This window comes from Homo sapiens, chromosome 2 (genome assembly GCF_000001405.40).
Source record: "Homo sapiens chromosome 2, GRCh38.p14 Primary Assembly".
NCBI classification, from domain to species: domain Eukaryota; kingdom Metazoa; phylum Chordata; class Mammalia; order Primates; family Hominidae; genus Homo; species Homo sapiens.
In genome coordinates, this window is record NC_000002.12 from 37,456,244 (window position 1) to 37,479,630 (window position 23,387).

Genomic DNA, 23,387 nt, shown 5'->3' on the forward strand with positions numbered 1-23,387 from the left:
GAGGCATTTTCTCCCAATGTGATGAATCTGTGACTCCCTCTTAACATTGAAGACATAAACAGGTCTGACATTTTGGGTCTCTGGCTACTCTTCCTTTCCCAGCTTATCTTTAGGACTTGCTGACATGCAGTCCTTTCTACAGTGCTCTCCTTGGGCTTATGCACAGTCCATCTGTACCCATTTAGGTCTTGTCACTTGGAATCTTCAGTTGTAAGGAGATCATGACCTGGAAGCTAGTTCTGTTTAAAAAGAATTGGGTGCCTGGGGCAGGTCCCCATTGCCCTATCCAGGATGAGACTGCAGCCTGCTCCAGGACCATTTAGAGAAGTAGGAAGGAGGTGGTAGAGGTAGCCAAGGCAGCAGCCAGGACTTACAGGGCTGGGAAGGGCATTTTGCCCAACAGCAGCAGCTGCCGTTACATGTTGGGCTTCCTGTCTTCTTACCCTCCCAATCAAGGAGCACAGCAAATGCTTCTTCCTGCCTGTGTGGGGCTGATGTGCCCACTTCCTGGCTTCCTCCAGCCTTGTGATCTTCAATCTTTGCTGCACATTCAAATTACTAGGGGGACATTTAAATACTATTAATGCTCACCTTATCCCCAGAGATTCTGATTTAACTGGAGTGGGACTTAGGGTCTCTAGTTTTTGAAAGCTCCTCAAGCGATCTCAACATGTTGCCAAGGATGAAAATTGGACACATTCCGTCTGCCCCGTTTTCAAGGGGGTGGGGCATATGCTGTGATTCCCAGGCTTCTACAGCCTCATCCAATTTGATTCTCTCAAGACCTGTGGGATAGAAGGTATCATGACCTTAGAGATGAAAGCCTGAGACTGCATTTGGCCTGTGAGCTGGGAGGGGTCTGTTAGTAGGCAGAAGGTTTAGGTAGAAACAAAGGCCAGACTTGCTATAAGGAAATCAGGAAGGAATGATATTGTTTTCTTGCTTTTTAAGGCAGACAGGATTTCATTCATTTGTTCATTGAACAATATTTATTGAACAGCTCCTCCATGCCAAGTGCTGCACCAGGGGATGGGTTAAGACGTAGCCCTTGACACGTGGCACCCTCTGGGGCTCAGCCTTGGGTAGCGATTCTTTGGAGAAGTGTGCATTGTCAGAGCATTGTGGAACTGGAAAAGACACTGCCAGGGACAGTTTTCTTCGCCTACATGACTCATATACTGAAAGAATGAAACTAATTTCTTCTTCCATTTAAAATTAAGCCTAGTCAGAATTTGTAATCTTGCTGGGATGTAAGTTTACAAGCCATAGCAAGGGATAATCATGGCAAATTTGAACTATGGCTTGATGACCAGGAAGAGAGAACATATCGCGCTAGACCCACGAATTCCACTGACGGCTCTGACACCCACGAAGTCCATCCATCTCTGTGCAGGGACATTCCACTAAACAAAGCCAATTGATATCTCACATTCTGAAGATTTTTCAAATATTATTACTAAGGCATTTTCCCTTGTTTTGTTTTAATTCAAGTGGGTTTTTATTTGAGACTTAGAGGTCATAAGTTTTATATCCTCAGGCTCGATTTAAAACCTGGCCACAACAGATAGTAAACAGCGGTCTCATTTTCTTGTAACAATAGTTCATGACATTGTGGTAAGAAACTACACTTGGCAGCTGAACATAACAAAAAACGCATGGTCTTTGGAGTTGAACTGGCCCAAATACGAATCCTGTTCTGTCATTTACTTTGTTGGGATCCAGGGCAAGTTACTTAAGCATTTTAAGCCTCTGTTTCTTCATTTTCAAAATGGGTATAGCAATGTGAAAGAGTATATATATGCCTTAAACAGTGGCTAGTATGTAATTGGTTTTTGAAAAATATTCCTTTCTCCATGTGTAATGACATGACACGTGGCACATCTCAGGACCCTGGTTTAAGGAGATGTGAAGCACATAGAAGGTCTTAGTTGAAATTTTGCATTGGAAAAGGAGATCTTATAATCTCCACCATGAATTATAAATATCTAAGGAAGAGAAACAGTGTGTTTCTTATGCTTGCAAATTGCCTTTAATCTTGTATGCTTGTGAATAGTTGAATGACAGGCAGACACAACGGCTTTACGTTCAAGTGACAAGACAAACAATAATACCTGTCAATAGAGACTTACCTCTGTGCCATACACTTTACATATCTTATTATTATTTTTTAAAGACAGAGTCTTGCTCTGTTGCCCAGGCTGGAGTGCAGTGACATGTTCACAGCTCACTGCAGTCCTGACCTCCTGGTCTCAAGCAATCCTCCCACCTCAGCCTCCTGAGTAGCTGGAACCACAGGCAAGCGCCACCACGCCCAGCTGATTTATTTTTATTTTTGTAGAGATGAGGTCTCACTATGTTGCCCAGGCTGGTCTCAAATTCCTGGGCTCAAGTGATCTTCCTGCCTCAGCCTCCCAAAGTGCTATTTTATCCTCATAATAACTTTTAAGAGAGGTGTTATCTCTATTTGCAAATAAGGAAACTAAACAGTAGTCAGGTTAATTGTCTTTCCCAAAGTTACACAACCAGTGGTAGAGGTGGGATTTTAAGCCAAAAATTGTCAGTAAATCATTGTAGATGGTGGCTATCATATTAAGAAGGCTATTTCTTGACTAAGCTCGGTCATGAGATTAGCATTCCAGTACCAACATGCTGGACACTTGCTGAATAGATGAACACATAGAATCAGTGCCTGCAAGCAGGGTGTGCCTAGTTATCCAGCAGGATGATTTCCTGGATGAGGGTTCGAGCCAAGTGAATGGGGTAATGGCCCCTAACAAACCCAGGGCCCTTGGGTCAGTGGCATCTACAATGCAATGATTACATGCTAATAATTTCAGTATTTGCATTATAGTTCAGGAAATAGAAGAACAAGTCTTTTCTTATTGCTTTGCCTTTGTTGGACATTTTGGTTGAGTACAATTTTTCCTTATCACCTTCTGAATACTTTCTGAAATACTTTCAACTGCAATTCGACTTTCAGTCTTTGCAAGTGTATCCATTGGGTGATATGTATGGTGTTATGACATTTATGTTCTAATGACACATAAGGGCTTCCAGATTTGTAGTAAGTCTAGAATTCATCTCCAGTGACTACACTGAGCAAAAACAGAATATGCACTTTGTAATGATAAAAATTCTTAGTAATGGTTCTGTAATTAGCCTAATGATTTCAACAACTGATCTTTAATATGCATGAGCTTAATTCCTGTTAAGAGCAGAAATCTCAGATTCCTCTCAAGGTCTCCCTTCATACTTATCTTCAGTAATTTAATAAATGTGTATGAGTCTATAGTTGCTCATGTTTTCTCCATTTATATGCATTTATCTGGGTCAGCATGTGGTTAGAGTGATGACATACAAAGGAAATTCAGGCCTCTTGTCTCAGAGCCAGAGGCCTGTATAAACATTCCTGTGTCTGAGATTTGGGGGTTGGAGAAGGTCTCTGGACCTGTCCCCTCAAAATGTCAGGAGCTTACTGCATCTCCCAAAAGGATAGTGCCTAGAAAATGTAGACTTTGTTGATAAAAAATACATAGTGATCATTACATTGACATTTGAAGTATCTGGTTCTTTTCAGATTAGGCAGATGATAGTAAAAGGTCATTGGTGGTGTTGATGAAGGAGAGAGTGGTTGATGAGTAGGATATTAATAATGGCCCTTTACTGAGGCAAGCAAACAGAACCTAACAGACAATATATAGGCAAATACTGTTAAAAACACGGCGACACAAAAACTCACAGGGCTCCACAGAAATACAAGCAAAAACAAACTCCAGACCTCTTGGCTTAACATAATTCCAGAAAAGACCCAGTAAGGATCTGGATAAAGTGTCCATGGCCAAGAGGAACTGAAAAAGTCAGATTCCAGGGGTCCTCACATTTCTGGTTTCCCATTAGATTTTATCTCCCATCTCAAGCAGTAGGATCTGGCAAGAGGGATACAAAAGACTCTGCAATTCAACTTTCAGAAGAGCTGGGGGAAGAAGCAAGGCCATGCCTCTCTGTTAGTAATCCTCTGTGCTTTAGACCACAGTGTGAGAATTTGGAGGTGAGAGGGCAAAAGGAGGTTGCAGCAGGAATCTTGGCCTGGGATCAGTTTGAGGGAGTTTTGCATAAAGGTATTTACTTTGGGAAGATAATATTAGCTCAATTATTTCCCATGGAAACTGGAAAATAAACTCCCACTTTAAACTAAACACATGCACATACTTAGTTTCTGTTTGCACTCTTTCCCTGACTAGTGAGTGAGAAAGGTCTGTGTGTGTGTGTCTGTGTGTGTGTGTGTGTGTGTGTGTGTGTGTGTGTGAGTGTGTATGCTTCTTTGTGGCCCTATTTTTGCTTTGCTTCAACTTATTTCGTCATTTCATGCTTGCTGCCTAGCAGACATGGATGGGTGGATTTTGATCAGAGTTAAAGGCAGTTTGCCCACTATCTGCCATGGTGGGACTTATGCCTGCCAGTCGGTAGGCCTCCCTGAAGTTCATCTTGTCTTGTCAAAATGCTGATGCATCAAGATTGATGTGTTTTGAGTAGGAATTATTTTTCAAAGCCTTGTTTGGGCCAGTTCTGGTCTGGTGCCATGTCTTACATAGTGTATATCATGAATCTTCACTGAGAAAGAAACAAGCCTGTGTTTCTGAAGTGTCCTTCAGCTTAGGTTTGCCCATACACTTTTGGTAAAATTCCTTTTCCAGAAGCCTCAGAGTGAGTCCAGGATACAGAAAAAGAGGAGTGTATCATGCTTGTGGGTTTAACAGTTTATCTGTCACCACCTCCTCCCCACCCCATGAAAAGGCCAAGCTGTCTCACTGGGGATAATTTAATGCCACTCTTCTAGGATAACAGAGAGTCACTTAATGCATGTATTTAGTCAGTCTTTGAAGTAAAGGAAGGTGTGTCGATTTCTGTGTAGAAGCGGTATGCCCAAAGGAGTGGAGTGGTTCTACTCCTCCTCCTTCACCTCCTCCTTCCATTAATTTTGAGCACTGCATAAAGCATGGTATTATTGAGGATGTTGCTGGGGATGTTGTTCCATTTATTTTTACTACATATCAAATCACTGCATAGTTTTTGTAGGTTAGAAAGTTGTAAAGGGCTGTGATGAGTGGTTCTGGAAGGGTGTGTCTCCTGCAGGAACCTATAGGAGCTTGGGTCTGGCTTGGCATCTCTCTCTCTCTCTCCATGTAGTCTCAGGGTATCTCCATGTGATCTTTCCATTTGGGATAATTTGGGCTTCCTCACAACGTGGTGGCTTCGGGGAGGTAGACTGTTAAATGATAAATCAGGGCTTCAGCGCTAGTGCACCAGTGAACTAGGGGGAGGCATCAACTTTCCTAACAGCCTTGGAAATCATGTAGTATTACGTCTGTTGCATTCTGTTGGTTCTAAGCAAGTCAGTGTACTCAGAGATAAGGAAAATGGATACTGACCCTACTTTTTGATGGGAGGAGTATCAAGGTAATATTGTAGAAAAGCATGTGCCATCTTTGGGGGATACAATTTGTCATAGGAATAGCTCTATTCAAGAAAAAATAATCACAGTAAAGACAGTCCAACTGGCAATAGTCCTTTCGGGAAATTCTGTGATCTCAAAATGTTGCATGCCAGTTTGAATGGTAAAATATACACTGACCTTTCTGTGAAATCATTTTTTTTTACTTTAAAATGTTATATTGTGGTATACTTTACATTCAATAAAATAAACACATCTTAAATATACAGTTTAATAAATTTTGATAAATGTTTGCACTCGTGTGACAACCACCCCTGTCAAAACACAGAATACTTCATCACCCCCAAAATTCCCTTGTGCTCTTATGGAGTAAACCCTTGCTGTCTTTGGTCTCAGGCAATTTCTGTGTTGTTTTCTGTTACTATTGATCAATTTTACCTGTTTTAGATTTTCACGGAATCTGACAGCATATACTCTTTTGTCGGCATAATAGTTTTGAGATTCACTCATTTTGTTGTATGTAATGTAAATCAACATTATTTCTGAGTAATATGCCATAGAATGAATATACTGTAATTTGTTTATCCATTCTCCAGTTGATAGACATTTGGGTTGTTTATTGTTTTTGGCTATTATGAATAAAGCTGGTATGAATATTCATGTACAAATGCTTATGTAGACATACCCTTTCATTTCTCCTGGATTAATACTAAGGAGTGGAATTGCTGGGCCATATGGGAAATTTATGTTGAACTTTCTGAGAAACTGTCATTCTGTTTTCCACAGTGGTTGTTCCATTTTACATTCTCACCAACAACATAAGAAAGTTTCTGTAACTTTACATCCTCACTGTACTTGGGTATGTCAGTCTTCAATTTTAGATAATCCAGTGTGTAGTGCTTTAAATATACATTTTCATGATGATCAGGATGTTGAGCATATTTTCATTCATTTATTAGACATTTATATTTCTCCTTTTGTAAACTATCTGTTCAAATCTTCTGCCCATTAAGCATTTTAAAACATATTTTTCCTGTTGGATTATAGTTCTTTAAATAGTCTCAATACAAGACCTGCAGTAGGTATGTATATGGTGAATATTTTTTTTCCCAGTCTGTGGATTGCCTGTTTATTCTTTTATGATATCTTTGGACTAGAAGTCATTAATTTTGATAATGTTTCATTTATACTTTTTCATTTTATGGTTTGTTCTTTTTATCTGTTATGTCTAAAAAAATCTTTCCTACCCCATAGTCACAAAGATTTTCTTCTGCATATTTTTCTAGAAGTCTTACAGTTTTAGCTTCAATTTCTATGATCAATTTTTGTTTATAGTGCGAGGTAAGGGTCAAGGTTTATTTGTTAAAAATATGGGATCTGGTTTTTCAAGAACTGTGTTGAAAACACTATCCTTTACTTATTGAATTATCTCTACATCCTTGTTAAAAGTCAATTTACCATTGGGTAGTTATATTTTTTGACTGCCTATTGTGTTCCATTTATTTATATGTCTATCCTTATGTAAATATCACACTGTCTCCATTTCTGTAGCTTTATAGAAAGTCTCAAATTCCTTTCTAAAATTGCTTTTACCAATCTTGGTTCTTTGCATTATATCACCATAAATTTCAAAAACACCCTGTCAATTTCTTTTAAAAAGCTTCCTGGGATTTTTATTAGAATTCCATTGTATCTATAGATCACTTCAGGGAAATTTATCGATTTATAATGTTGAATCTTTTGATTCATGAACATAGTATATCTCTTCATTTATTTAGGATTTTAAACATTTATTTCTTACACAGTTTTTGTTAGATTTATGCTTATTTTATGTTTTGATCCTATTGTAAATAACATTGTTTTAAGTTTCATTTTTGAAATTATTCATTGTGCTAGTATACAGAGGTAAAAATGGTTTTTATATTAATCCTGTATCTTGCAACCTTGCTGTATTCATCTATTAGTTGCAATAGTTTTTATTATGGATTCTTTAGGGGTTTCAATATGTACAATCATGTCATCTGTGAATAAAGGAAGTTTTATATTTTCCTTTCTAATCTGTATGCCTTTTATTATCTTTTTCTTGCCTTACTGTATTGGTCAGGACCTCCAATACAACTTTGAATGGAAGTGATAAGAGCATGCATCCTTGCCTTCTTTCTGATATTAGAGGGAAAACATTCAATTAAGTGTGATGTTAGCTGTAGATTTTTTTTTTTTGGTAGATGCCTTTTATTGGGTTGAGGAAATTCCCTTTTACTCTTAGTTTGCTGGGGGATTTAAAAATAATTATGCCTGGTTTTTGAATTTCCCAGTGCTTTTTATGTATCTATGGGAATGGTTATAGAGTTTTTCTGGTTGATTCTGTTGATATAGTGTATTGCATTAATTATTCTCTAATGGCAAACCAACTTGCATTCCTGAGACAACTCCCATTTGGTCATGATGTATTATCTTGTTGCAGTGTCTATCAATGGAGTGTCTATCTTGAGGTCGCAGTAAAGATATTGGCTAGGATTGAAGTTATCTGAAGCTTTGTCTGGTTGAAACTTTCTGCTTCTAGGAAACTTCTTGCTAAAAGTCACATGACTGTGTTTGGCAGCAGATCTTTCTTTACCGATGAACCTGTTTTCTCAGTGTGACAGCTAGATTCCCCCAGAGTGAGTGATTGGGTATGTTGTCAGGGAGGGAGGAGAGAAGAGAAAAAGAGCCAGAGTGAGAGTGAGGGAGACTGAAAGAGACTTTTGTTTTTCTGTTTTCTATTTCATTGACTTCTGCTTTTATTATTTTCTTCCTTGTATTCATTTAGTGGTCACTTTTGGTCTTCTTTTTTAGCTTCTTGAGTAGGAATATTAGATTGTTGATTTTTAAAATGTATTCTTTCTCATGTAAGCATTTAAGAGTACAGATTTCTCTTTAAGCCTACTTGAGTTGCATCTTATACATTCTGATGTGCTGGGTATTTGCCATCATTTAAAATACTTAAAAGTTTCTCTTGAAATTTCTTCTTTGGTGTATGGCTTATGGACTATTTAAAAGAGTTTTTACTTAATTTCAAAAAAGTAAGGATCTTACAGTTATATTTTTGTTATCCATTTCTAATTTATTTCCATTGTGATAAGTGAATATCCTATGCATAATTTCAATTTTAAAAATGTATTTCTACCTCTTTTATGACCCAGCATAGGTCTACCACAGTGAATGTTTTATTTGTACTTGAAAAGAATGTGTATTTGTCCATGTTACATGTAGTGTTTTAAAAATATCAATTAAGTCATGTTGGTTGATTGAGTTTTCCATGTCTTCTGTATCTTTACTGATTTTTTAAAAATCTACTTGTTCTATCAGTTACTGGTAGAGGAGTGCTGAAATTTTCATTTCCCTGTTGGTTTGTTTATTTTCCCCCTCGGTTCTATCAGTTTTTCTTCATGTATCTTGAAGTCCTGTAATTGAATGAATACACATTTAGGATTGTTATGTCTTCAGGAATATTTATCCTTTTTATCAATAAGAGACTATATCTCTTTCTGTCTGTTAATCTTTCTTATCTTGATAGGTACTTTGTTCAAACTTTATATACTCTCCAACTTTTTATGATTAGTGTCCAAATGGTATGTTTTTTTCTATCCTTTTATAACAGTTATCTTTTCTGTTTCAAAATGTTTGAAGTGCATTTCTTCTAGACAGTATATAATGGGTCTTGCTTTTTGAAAATCTGACAATCTCTGTGAGTGTTTTTTTGTGTGTGACAATTTCTGTTCAAATTATAGTGCTTAGGCTGTTTGTGGTGAATGTAATATCAGTATGCTTAAATTTAAGTTTATCATCTTGCTACTTACTTTCTATTCATTGCATACTTTATTTTCTCAGTTTTTCTCTTTTCCTGATTTATTTGGTATTGAGTATTTTAGCATTTTGTTTTATTTCTAATATTGGCTAATCTTTATACTTTTTAATTCATGGTTATTATAGTGTTTAAAATATGCATCTTAAGTCATTACAGTCTACCTTCAAGTAACATACTACCATTTCATGTATAATATATTAACATTATGCAATTCCATTTCTCTGCTCTCATTCTTTGTGCTATTGTTATCATACCTTTTACTTATGCATAAATTATAAATTTCATAATACATTGTTCTAATTTTTGTTTTAAGCCATAATTATGTTTTAAATAAGCTTAAAATGAAAAAAATTCTTTTGTATTTGTTGCTCACGTACTTGCCATTTCTGGAGCTCTTTGTTACTGTTGAAGATCTGAGGTTTCATCTGTTATTTTCCTTCAGGTTGAAGAACTTCCTTTTACATTTATTGTAGTACAGGTTAGATGATCATAAATTATCCCAGCTTTTGTTTATGTGAAAATGTCTCCATTTTGTTTTTATTTTTAACAATATATTTGATGGATATAAAAGTCTAGGTTTACTTTTTGTCCCCTTTTGGTACTTTAAAACATACCATTCAATTGTCTTTTGGCTGACTTTGTTTCTGATAAGAAGTCATTGGTTTTCTCACCTTTGTTTTTTTGTAACAAATATGTTTCCCCCTGCCTTTGGCTACCTTTTCTCTCTATTTCTAGTTTTCAGCAATTTTAATATGGTGTGCCCTAATGTGTTTTTCTTTGTGTTAATACTATGTGAGTTGTATTAATACTCTTGGATCTATAGGTTTATGCTTTTTATAAAAATTTGAAAAATTTAGCCATTATTTCATGTTTCTATTCCTATGTCTTTGAGTTCACTGATCCTCTCTTTTCCAGTGTATATACTGCTATTGATCTCAGTCAACAAAATTTTCACTTCAGATGTTATGCTTTTTAGCTCCGTAAGTTTCATTTGGTTCTCTTTTATGTCTTCAATTTCTCTATTTCTTTTAAATCTTTGAAAATATGTAAATGTCACTTTAAAAATCTTTGTCTGTGAATTGTCATCTGTGTCATTTCTGTGTATGTTTCTATTGATTGATCTTTCTCTTCTGGCTACAGGTCCCATTTTACTGCTTTTTTTCAGGGTTACTCTTTTTTGATAGGATACTGGCCATTGTAAATATCACTTTGTTGAGTAGACTTTGGAATCTTCTTTTACAGATATTTGGATTTTATTTTGGCAGACAGTTTAGCTACTTTTAGACCAACTTGATTCTTTTGAGGTTTGTTTTTAGCACAGGTCTGCAGTAGCCTCAGTCTAGCCCTAATACTTCTGGGGTCTTTTCTGAATGCCCTGCTTGTTCTGAGATTTCTACACCACAATTGGTAAGAACTTGGATGACTCCCAGGCTTGTATGAGTTATGGGAATTGTTCAGCTTACAGCTCCTTGTTAGTTCTTTCACTCATAGTTTCTTTTTTTTTGCCTAGTTTCGTGGTGTCTTACCACATATATGCAGAACAGGGTATGTTGCTGAAGACTCAAGGGACCACCTATGCAGCTTTCTGAAGCTCTTTCTTTGTGTGATTTTCTTCCCTTTGGAACTCTGCCTTGCAAATTCCAGCTGCCCAAGCCTCTTCTAACTCCAATATTGTATCTTTAACTCCATGAGATTTATGTGGTCTCCACTTTTCTTTTCATTCATTAATTAATTTATTCTTGAGACAGAGTCTTGCTCTGTCACCCAGGCTGGAGTGCAGTGGTACAATTTTGGCTCACCATAACCTCCGCCTCCTGGGTTCAAGCAATTCTCCTGCCTCAGCCTCCCAAGTAGCTGGAGCTACAGGTGCGTGCCACCATGCCCAGCTAATTTTTATATTTTTAGTAGAGACAGGGTTTCACCATATTAGCTAGGCTAGTCTTGAACTCCTGACTTCGGATGACCCACCTGCCTCTGCCTCCCAAAGTGCTGGGATTACAGGCATGAGCTGTCATGCCTGGCTGGGTGCTTTTATATGCTCTAGTCTCCAGGTAGAAAGCTGGGACAGTTTTAGGGCTTACCTTGTTTGTTTCCTTTCTTTTGGGGATCAATTTCTGTGCAGTCTGCAGCTTATGTTTGAAAAGAGTTGTTTCATAAATGCTTTCCTTTTGAAAAAATAGTTTATAGTGGGCAAGTAAGTCTAGTACCAGTTACTGTATCATATACTGTGACTAGAAGTTATAAAATCACATTTTAAGTCAAAGTGGAACAATCTTTTCTCATTACTCTTTGTAGGCATATATAATTTTATCTGATAACTGGTTAACTGAAAAAAAAAATCCCTTTAGTACAATACTGAGAAATTAAGAATTTCCAATAAGAGAACTAGACTCTTAGAGTTGAGTTAATTTGATGTGTCTTTTGCCCATCGGACAGGGCTACAAAATGATTTGGGAGAGAACTTGGCTGTAGTCTCTCTTAACAAATATCAAAGTATCCTTCATTTTGTCACTCACTCTACTTTTGTCTACAGAAAGTGAATTCAAAAAAGCTGGAGAGGAGACGCATCAGGTCAGAAGGGATTTGCTGCTCTGAACTGCCAGTTACACTGCACAAAAGTATGTCACATACCTTTTTGCAGAGCCACTAGTGCGGCATACAAAGAAAGGGTTCTTATTGCTATCTTGGCTGCCGTTGTGGTTTTATGTTCCCATGGTTTGGAAGCCATGACTTAGAAAGAGCCATGGTACCTGGCTGACAAACCAGCTGACATAAATGTGCTAACCATTTTCTGGCAGGTGGCCTGGTCTGCTAGCTGGCTTCTGAGAAATGATACACATGGAGGCCTCACAGACAGATCACCACTATCTCCAGCCTCTGAAAGTTCTGGAATCTGAATCTGGAATGAGTTTACTGCCCTCTATTTTCACTGGAAATAGACCAAAGAAACTGCCAAATGCTCTTTCCGTGTCAAACATCCAACATACAATGCGACTGTGGTTGTTAAGGCATTGGGTTCTTCAAATGGGTGGGCCTAGGAAGAGTTAAATCAGTCTGTCTGTTTATCTGTCTATCCATCCATGCATCCATCCATCATCTATCTATCATGTATCTACCTATCTAAATATACATGCTATAGCTGTATATATTATATTTCTAGTTTACATGTTGTTTTAATACATAGATGAAACTAATGCAGGCTAGTTTCTCAATCCCTCATCTGCAATAAAAGAATAATATTAATTTGTACTGCATAGGATAGGAAGATACAATGAATTCATAGGTGTAAATAACTTAATACCTAGTACATAGTGCCTTAGCTCAATACATCTTTACTACTGTTATTATTGTTTTACATTATAGATGGAAGGTAGTGCTTCTTGGTTACTCCAAGACTTATTCTATAGAGTATGCTTGAGCTTGGCTCCTCTATGGCCCTGTTTCAGCTTTTTGGTGTTGTTAATTTATATTCTCTTTTTAACATATACTTTAGGAAACACATTCCCTGCCCTGCCCTGCCCTGCCCTCCCCTCCCTCCCCTCCCCTTCTCTTCCTGTCATCCACTTTCCTTCCCTTCTTTCTTTCTTCTTTCAATGGATGGAGTCTTTCTAATAAGAATAGTCCTATTAGACAGACTATAAATAATGATATTCATAGATTTATTTGGTTATGACCTTGGCTTTGAATCTACTTCAGTGTTGGGCTTTATCTGCCAAAACTAAGAAGAGAACTGAGATAAGAAAATTCAAGTTAAATTGTGGTAATTCACAGATGTTGTGTGAAGAAGCAGACTTCTCATTTTTCAGGCATGGTTCTCCTGTCTGAGACTTGGATTTGGGTGTGACAGACAAGAATGTAATTTTAAAGTATTAAGATAGCAGTACAATTCGCAGTTGCAAAAATGTGGAACCAACCCAAATGCCCATCAATCAACAAGTGGATAGAGAAACTGTGATATATATATATATGATGGACTACTGCTCTGCCATAAAAAAGGAATGAATTAATAACATTTGCAGCAACCTGGATGAGATTGGAGACTATTATTCTAAGTGAAGTAACTAAGGAATGGAAAACCAAACATCGTATGTTCTCACTTAAGTGGGAGCTAAGCTATGAGGATGCAAAGGCATAAGAATGACACAACAATGGACTTTGGGGACTCAGGGGGAAAGTGTGGGAAGGCGGGGTGTGGGATAAAAGACTACAAATAGGGTTCAGTGTATACTGCTTGGGTGATGAGTGCACCAAAATCTCACAAATCACCACTAAAGAACTTACTCATGTAACCAAACACCACCTGTTCCCCAATAACCTATGGAAATTAAAAATTAAGAAAAAAAATAAAGTACTAAGAGTGTAGTTATAGAATGTTAAAAGGTATCGTAGATGCCACCAGGCCTGTTTTAAACAGAAAGACACTGAGAAACATACCACAATCTGTGCTGATAGTTTGCCTATTGACTCTCAGCCCCAAGACCACAATTGTATACTCTGCTCTGTGGTGCTAGGTTTAGAGCTCCGCCAATCACATATTCCAGACTGTTTTTGCCAGATGACTTCCTACTGGGTTCTGCTAATTTCTGTCATTGGAAGAAGACTGGAAGGTAGGAGCTTCCTTCCTATTTCTCGTTGGTCTTGTCAGTGAAAGTTTACTCTTCTCTTTGTCTTCTTTTAGCATTGCCAGAACTAGCTTCATCTTACCCGCTCAGGGATATTGTTGGGAGCCAGGTGTTCATTCTTTCTCAGGTATCTGAGCCCCAGCTCAATGGGGCGGGTCCTCTGAGATTCTGAGATTCTATCAGCAGCTGGGAAGTACAGTACTATCTCCTCAGAGGGCTAAGCCCTAGGTTAGCGGATATCCCTCTTTTGAGCTCTAGGTTTTGATAATCCCAACCACTTCTCTTTTATTTACCTAGTCCTAAGGGTTGTAGATTCTTATCTCTGGGTTATTTTAATGCCTTCCTTTTGTTCTTTCATTTTTCTAACTCCTGTGAAAACAATTTCCTATACAGTAGTCCTCCCTTATCCATGGTTTCGCTTTCTGTGGTTTCAGTTATCCATGGTCAGCTGTGGTCTGAAAATATTAAATGGAAATTCCAGAAATAAACAACTCACACATTTTAAAGTGTGCACCATTCTCAGTAGTGTGATGAAATGTGTGCTATCCCTCTGGGTCCCACTCTGGACTGCCTGGGACGGGAATCATCCCTTTGTCCGGCATATCCACACTGGAGATGCTACCTTCCTGTTAGTCACTTAGCAGCTTTAGATTGAAAAAACATAGTATACATACGGTTCAGTCCTATTTGCTGTTTCACGTCTCCACTGGGGGTCTTGGAACACACGCCCATGGATAAGGGGAGATTACTGTATTAAATCTTTTTAATTTAAATATTTGGTATTATTCTTTCTTCCCTTCCCTTCCTTTCCCTTCCCTTCCTTTCCCTTCCCTTCCTTTCCCTTCCTTTCCCTTCCCTTCCCTTCCCTTCCCTTCTCTTTCCTTCCCTTCTCTTTCCTTCCCTTCCTCTCTTCTCTCTTCCTCTTTCCTTCCCTTCTTTCTTTCTTCTTTCAATGGATAGAATTTTTCTAATAAGAATAGTCCTATTGGACAGATGATACATGATGATATTTGCGGATTGATTTGGTTATGACCTTGGCTTTGAATGCAACCCTGGGCTCCTTTCCAAAGGAAAAGTGGGATACTCTTAGTCCATGGTATGCAGTGGCATAATAATTAAATTATCAACTATGGTCACTTAGGATAAAGTTTCTGTTAAATTTCCTGATAAAGTAAGTTTCTTGGGGCACCAAATGACTACTGCATCTGACTCTTATGTAGAGTTAATGGCTACAAGGACTGTGGCATGAGATGGCTTTTATTTTTGGCTGTACTGGAGGAATAGTAAAAAGAAAATAACAAGTTTGGGGTTTTAAATTCTCAGCTTAAGTGTCAGTCAGAAAGCCAGAGAACTTCTATGGTTACCCTATAAAAGACCATTATATTTCCTGTAGCTGTGGAACAAATATCACTGAAAGCCAAACTCCAAATCTGTGTGGATTGCAGAATTATAATCTAAACTGAAATCACAGACTCACCAAATTGTTATGTGTAAGTTAGAGAACTGATTGGGAAGAAGTGGGACCTTGATATTTGAAATGAGGGCATTCTGAATGGACTCAGAAAAATCCAAAAATTTAGAACTTTGCAAGCATCCCTAAACTTTCCTTGTTAGTAGAACAAGCTCCTTCTTCCATATCTGAGGTTAATCTCTTCCTTGGTTGAAAACTCTTAATTTCATCTTATGCTGTTGTCTTGTGAGAGTGTTTTATTCTCCTACCTCCATCAAGACCCATTCTTCATTGCCTCAAGGCTTGTATGTCAAGTCAGATATCCTCAGGTACAGGAAAGAAATAGTATAGACTCCCAGAGAATTGCATGGTTTACTTAACAGCAAACATCTGAGTAGTATGGAGTATTGTGAGAATAAATTGTAAGTGCATTAGACCAAGGAGAATAGAATATAATATGAGGTCAGCCTGAATTTATTGATATGGGTGCACTTACCAGAGATTCTGGATTTAATGTGTCAGCATAACTAGCTGGAGGTTGTCCTGACAGTGTGGTTAGTTGACTGAAACTTGGGCTAAATGATGGCCTACATTCCGAGGCTGAGATGTCACAACTTCTGTGGCATAATGTAGAGTATGAGTCAACAAATTATGGTCCATGGGTCAAGTCTGTGAGCTAGGAACAGTTTTCATAATTTAAAGAAGAAAGAGGAGAGAAGGAGGAGGAGGAAGAGAAGGAGAAAGGAGACAGAAAGCCTATATGGTCCACAAAGCCTAAAATATATAGTCTTTGGACATTTACAGAAAAAGTTTGAGGACCTTTGGTATAGAGAAAGAAATCCAAAGGTTTGGGGGTGGGTATAAATAATGGAATAGATTTATCCTGTGCAAACTCTCCTTTTCTCTATGTCTTCCAAGTGTGTTTACAGCCATGGCTCAGGCTCATGTGTGCTCAGGCCGAGCATCACTGGGGAGAAGGTGTCTCTTCTCCTGCCTCACTGTTTGCACTGAAGGGAGAATAATGACATTCAGAGAGTCCTCCTTGTCTTATCTCTGTTCCCCTCTGGTACCCCTTGGGAGATGGGGGACATGGAATGTTAAAAAACAAAACAAAACAATGAGGCTTTGAGTAAGAACAGATTATCTGTTGGTTTTTTTCTTTCTTTAATTAAGGTGGTTTCCTGAGAAGCTAAGGGAAGAGAAGACTTAGACATTACTAGAACCCATTCCTCAAGACACTGTATTCAGACAGAGGTAAAGTACCTGTGCATAACTCCACATACCTCCTTAATCGATACTGTGGCTGATAAGGTGATTGCTGATTAGGTGTTTAGCTTTCATAGTGACCACAAATTCTTTTTTGGGGAGAAATTCTTTTCTTTTTCCAGCTTACCTTTTCCAACTCACATGCTTTTAAAAGCAATGTTTGCAGTTTCTGCCACTCCAATGTCAACGAGAATTTATTTTAAAATGTGTATGAACTGGCAGCTTCTCAGAAAAAAAAAACATTGTTTTGGGAATGAAGTCATCTGTTTGGAGAGCAAAGCCTCAAGTATCATGCAAGGGGCGGGAACCCAGTGCCCTCTGCCTGCTCAACCCTTTGGCACACACAGCCATTGTCAAAACCTGTTTCCAGAGCAACTGAATTCTCTGTTGAAATTACTTGGCAGTTGACAAGCTCCTCTCCCTAAGGGTCTGGAGTAACTCCTTTCAAGGGTCTTATTTTAATGTAGCTTGTCCCTGATGGAGACCAAGATCATTGCCAGCTGAAGAATTTACCAGTACTCTCAAGTTGGCTCACCTGATACATTTTTATAGTAGAGATCAAGGTGTGTGTTTGGGATTTGGACTCTAATTGATGTCTTCATCGTCTTAGAAACACGTATGTCCTAAAGTCAAAACAATAGCTGGCTTTTTGGGTTATCTGCAGGATAATATTGTATCTGGGTACACAATGTTGGCAGTCTTTGAGAGGTATTGCTCCCATGCATTCTTCCAAACTGTGTATGGAGTAAATAGCCATTCAGTATTACAGACTCTGTTTTCTGACCATGGCACAGCGGGGTCTGGGGAAAGGAGAAGACTGGGCCTTCCTTTGACTTTGTAAGTCTTTGCTTTAAAAAAATCATTTAAAAAAACGCAATCAAAGCTTAATTTAAAAACGGATGTCCAGGATGAATTGCTAGGTCAAAACTAACAAAAGTGGAATTTAATATAAGTGTAAAAATCCTGTGATTAAGTTAAAAAATCAGCTTCCTAAATAACTACCAGGTGGGGAAGCTCTTGATTTTACAGTCACAGTGAATCTTTTTCTATTAAGGGAGGCCAACTTGCATGACTTCTTCAACCAGCCCCCCCGGAAAAACCTCTCCTGGGCCATGTGCAAACAAAGAATAATTTAAATCTCATTAGAGAAAAAAAAGATTAAACAGAACTCTTCATTGTTGAATGGTATCCATTAATTAAGGGCAAAAGAGTAAAAGCATTTTAACTATACAGCTGAACTAACAGAATTTGATATTTAGGCTATTAAACCTAAAATCCAGGTCAATCATTGAAAATAAAATTGGACACATATAGAAAGTAAAAACATAACTGAGAAAATACAAATGGATACACAGAGAAAAGGAGAAGGCATTGGGGTCCCATGCACAATCTTCCTGAGCTAAGTATGTCGGGGAAACTTAGGTCTCTTGATTAAATCCAGGTTGGTTTTGGCATTTCTGGGGGACCAAAGAGGGAAATGGGTTCCATTAAGTTACTTGATGGTGGCTGCAGCCAATCAAAAGTAAGGCCCATTAGAAAGGCCCTGCATAGCTCATGTAGGACAGGCCTTTCACATGCCATGGTGCATTACACTTTCAAGGCACCTTCACTTTCATAATCTCTTTTGCTCCTCCTGTCTTACAGATGTGATCATTGAAGGACTGAGAGCAGAAATATCTTTAAATTCCCAGAGCCAGTTAGCAGCAGGGCTAGGTCTGGTCCCCTTGGCCCCTGCTTTTTTGTATTGATTACCTCTCTTAGAAGATTGCATCTTACAAAAGGTCATTACCTTATCTAGGAAATGTTAACCTTAATTCCTACCTTGAATTAAAATTGGTTGGGGAGTTGGGGTGGGGAGTGAGGATTAGACTTAAGCACCTGCCTCCCAAGCTCTCTTCCCTGGGATAGTCTGAGCCACTTCTTGTCTTCTGGGTCCCAGTTTCTTATGTCCTTTCAGTGGGGTCTACAGATGGACTGGGAGTTGGCAAAATCAGCTGGTGCTTTGGGATTGATGATGCTTGGTTGCCTCTTCTTGAGCCAGTAGAGCCTGGGATACCTTTTATATGATGCAATGGGATTCACAGAAGCTACACTCAGTGCAAATGCCTTTGTCTTTTCAGAGAGCAGAAATTCTGGTGGGTACTCAGTTGGAGATTATCTCTGCTGTTTTATCTCCTTCCTGTTCTTTCCTCTTACATTGTCCCCCTTTTCCCATCAATGTTCACATTTCTGGCTTATCTAGAATATTATGTCTTTGCATATGTGGAACATTGGCTCAATAATGAGCACCCGTGCTTTTCAGATGGGTTTGGGGATTGTCAGCCACATAACCTCATCGCTGGTCTTATATAGATTCCCATGATATCATCTCTGGGTCCTGTGGGGGTAAATCTCAACTTATCAAACCAGTCTTGCTGGGTCATAGGCTCATTTACTTCATTACTCACTTCAACGCCCTTCTTTTGCTCTCATCTCTCCCCACTTTGGCCATATGTCATTCCATATCTCTGTGTTTCAGAAACTTAATTGCAAACTGAAATTGCATGGATTGGGTTTACTCAGTTTTATTATTACAATACTAAAAAATATTTATTAAGTGCTTAATTGTGCATGGTGATATATAAAAGGGGCTGACTTGATGATGTGCAAATAATAATAATCTCTTATATTTTATTACAGCTAATGCTATTATGTCCATTATCTCCTTTAGTGCACCAATTCCAGCTATTTGTGCCTTATACATTTGTCTAAGGAGGTGTGGGATACTCTTGGCACACTCGGAATACTGCTTGCCAGTAAGTCCGATCCCTAAGTCTTACGGCCAAAGGGGCTGTGCAAAGGACCTTGGGATCAATTTTAAGGCTTTTAACATTTCTCTGCCTCTGATTATTAGTTCAAACATGCATCATAGGGAATCAGATTGGAGGGAAGGGGCAATAGACATCCCCCCACAGTTTAGGACCATGAGAAGTTGAATTGGAGGCAGGGGAAAAAGTGTGGCCTTATTAAAGGTGTTGTTTAATATTCCAAGTTTGGGATCAGTGTCAAGTAGCCTCCAGTTAGACTCTTGCTGAACTCAAAAAGGGTTTCACTCACTAAAACTCTTTAGTGAGGTATTAATAAGTATGACACCACAAAAGGGATCCATGTCCAGAGAATTTAGAAAATGAGCCTTTCTCAACACACATTAGCATATTGATGGCTTGGAGAAATCCTTCAGCAAAGGAAACATTTTAAACCTGCCTTAACTCAGAGTTTCCTAAAAGTATTGGATCATGGAACCATTTGGAGGAGGAGCACCTGTGAACATCTGTGTATCCCAAGTTCTGGGAAGTGCTGAATTTGACTAAGTTTTGTAAGGGAGGAGATGTAATAACGAAAGAAACACACAGCCTTAGGGGTGGTTAAGGAGGAAATGAAGCAGTCAGGAGAAGGCAGAGGGACCCAACTGCAGGTGGTGGCTGAGGCCCTGCCCAGTGTTTTTGCCATGGGGAGGCATCTACTGTTCTGAGGTCTCCAGCCCTCGCTGTCTCACTGTGCATTGCCTTTTGGGAAGCATGGATTATTCTTTCTCCTGTCAAAACACACCTTCCATTTAGAAAGAAAGTCAGAAGTTTCTCGGATTGGGTCCTGGTAGATTCTGAATCTAGGATGAATGGCTTCAAACTTGAACTCCTGATTTTTTAGCTGCGCGTGTGACCAGAAAGCAAGGTGTTTGCTAGAACTTACATTGCTGACCCTTCACCTACTTTTAGAAACCCTTTTCACTTTTGCATGTTTTTCCCTGGAGGTTCGCTATCAGGCTGCTGCAAACTCATCAGATGACAGGTACCCAGAGCTGCTATTTCTGGAAGCTCTTGGCCATGTAAAAATACCAAAAATATTTTTTCCTTGTTAAAGTATAAGAACTAGTCTTAGTGAGATTTAAATCATATGTTGATTTTGCTTGGAAAACCCCCAATCTTTGGTCTGTGTTTTAGGATGGACTTTGAGGTTCAATTCCAGGGCTTTAGAATATGTTCTTTAGCAAATAACTTGATGTATTTGAATGGTGCTTCTAAATTTCTGAAACAGCACTAAAGGATGTTATTTTTTGGTGTGGCTGGGAATAAAAATACCCTGTTAAACTTTTGAACCATACATCCCTCTGCCTCAATAGTTGGGCAGATGTGGAGAGAAACTACTGCTTTTTTTTTTTTTTAACATTTGGAAGGCGGTATGTACCAAGTAAAGTTCCCTCCCAACATAGTTTTGCTTTATTTGAAGAAGTTTATTAGACAAGATTAGTCTTCAGGCAATAATAGAGATTCTTCAGGAACCAAATATTTACATTTTGAACTAGCTGTAGAAATGTTTAGTGATTCTTGTGAATTTAGCTTAGACACTGCTACCTATTGTATTGAATTCATGCTTTCCTCTTGGGAACGAAGTTTGAGGTAATCTATGAAATGTATACATAATTAAGGTAATGGAAGATATTTTGAAACTTAAAAATTATGGAATGATTTTTCCATTGACCAAGGTTTAGGAATGGTGTAGAAGAAATCTGAGGCTGGCTTTAAACTTCAGAATGCATTTTTGAGGAAAGAAGGACTCTTTGTTTTTATAAATATGTTTTAATTGAGTCATCTCTGGGACTCTGTTTGGAGGTTAGGTCTTCCAGGAAGGGGGATGAAACATTTTGTAGCTAAGGTCTATTCTGATTATCTTTGATTTGAATTCATTGCTTTTAATTTGTCTTTTCCCCCCATTATTTTTACATGGGTAAATGGAGAGTATTCTGGCTGTCAGTGCTTTGACATTTTTATTAGATAAATTTAAAAGGCATTTATTCAGGCCAATTCTGTATTCTCCAAAGCTTCAAATGAAAGAGTGCAATATCCCAGTCATGAAACACCTCAAGAAGGACTTATGTTTATCTTCTAAAATGAGGTTTCACTTGGTATATGTTTGGCTGACATATTGCAGTTCTAAAACTTGAGCAGACAAGCATTTTGAAGAGATTATTTCACCAATTGAAAAGTGATTATGTAACATCTGTGAACTCAGTGTGCATTTCAGGAAAAATGCTGTTGGCTTTGTCTTCATCCTCAAGTCATACATTAAGCCTTGAAACTCAGAAGTGTCCTCTGAGCTGTCATTAGTGACTCTTCAACTGTCCCTTCTCTTTTTTGTGTTTCAGCATAATGATTGCATATGAATGAAATTAGAATTTCATGTAGTATAGGTTTCAGTGAAAAACAATCCAATAACAGTATTCTAATCTCTCTCTTTTTGTTCAAGGACTAGTTTCTTTTGTTGTGTTCCTTCAAATCCAGAATTCTCAAATCTCCAGTACAAATGGCTATTATGCCTATAAAAAAGCAAGCTGATCTCAGATTCATGCAGACAATAGGCTTACTCTGGACAATTTTGTAAATGGTCTCATATTGTGTTATTTCTGTGTGATGATTTCCTGATATAGTGGTAATTTGGTGGGATTTCAGGGTTTTTAGACCGCTGTTTCACTCTAAGTCATTAAAACAACAAACAGGTTATGCTGGAGATAATTGGAAGATATTCCTAGTTAGCTTTTGGGGTGATGAAATGTTAAGGAGAAGTGTATTTCTGGTCCTCCTTTTTGTTGAAGGGATGAATGGATGGATGATAAACCAATCGAAAGACTCCCTGTCTACCAGAGCCAAGCTGTAGAGAATCTTACTTAATAAATCTGCTGATAATAAATTTGTATATACCAGTACTGCTAATTGGTCATGTACCATATATTTCTGTGCCTCAGATGTCCTTGCACTATTCCTGCTGCCTCATCTTAATCCAGACCCTCATTGTCTTATACCAAAGATAACTATAACAACTTTCTTGCTAGTCTCTGGCCTCCAACCTCTGGCTTCTTCCAGTTCACAGTGGGTCTAGCACTAGCTGAAAAATCTCCCCAAATGTCCTGTTACCTTTTGCAAGGACCTGCAATGGCTCCCCATTGTCGGCCTTATCATGTCGAAACGTCTTATTCTATGTAGTGATGTGAGCATACTTGTTCTCCTTCAGCCCAACTGAGTGTGGCCCTGCACTTATTTATTTATTTATTTCTATTTATTTATGTTTTGAGATAGGGTCTTTCTCCTTCTCCCCAGCTTGAGTGCATTGGTGCTATCTTGGCTCACTGCAACCTCTGCCTCCTGAGTTCAAGTGATTCTTGTACCTCAGCCTCCTGAGTAGCTGGGACTACAGGCACCTAGTTGACTAATTTTCATATTTTTAGTAGAGACGGGGTTTCGCCATGTTGGGCAGCTTGGTCTCGAACTCCAGGTCTCGAGTGATTTGCCTGCCTCAGCCTCCCAAAGTGCTGGGATTACAGGAATGCGCCACTGTGCCTGGCCCAGCCCTGAAATTTTATTTACACTCTTTTTTTTTTTTTTGATCAAGGTTTATCCATCAAACAATTTGACAATATGTAGTGGGTCTTAAAATTTCTCCTATTCCTGGGGAAATAGTTCTTAATATAGAAACAAGTTCAGTGTATAAAGATGGTCATTGCAGTTATTTATATAATTAAAAGTCACAAACAACCTAAATATTCAGCCAAGGAGAGTTAAGTGTGGCATAGCTTATAAAACTTAGACATTAAAAATGATGTGTACAATAAGTTTGTTAGCATAGGAAGTACATTCACACATCACTTAATGAAGGAGATATGTTCTGAGAAATGCATCATTAGGTGATTTCATTGATGTGTGAACATCATAGAGTGTA

General features: G+C 38.3%; 1 long non-coding RNA gene across 1 annotated transcript; it reads left to right on the forward strand.

Annotated features, from left to right (window-relative positions):
- Window positions 1–11,344: 11,344 nt before the first annotated feature.
- LOC124905991 (uncharacterized) lies at window positions 11,345–22,696 on the forward strand. The gene is made up of 3 exons (XR_007086288.1): window positions 11,345–11,917; window positions 13,811–13,906; window positions 16,545–22,696. It is a non-coding gene; the product is annotated as an uncharacterized LOC124905991 (long non-coding RNA).
- Window positions 22,697–23,387: the final 691 nt, after the last annotated feature.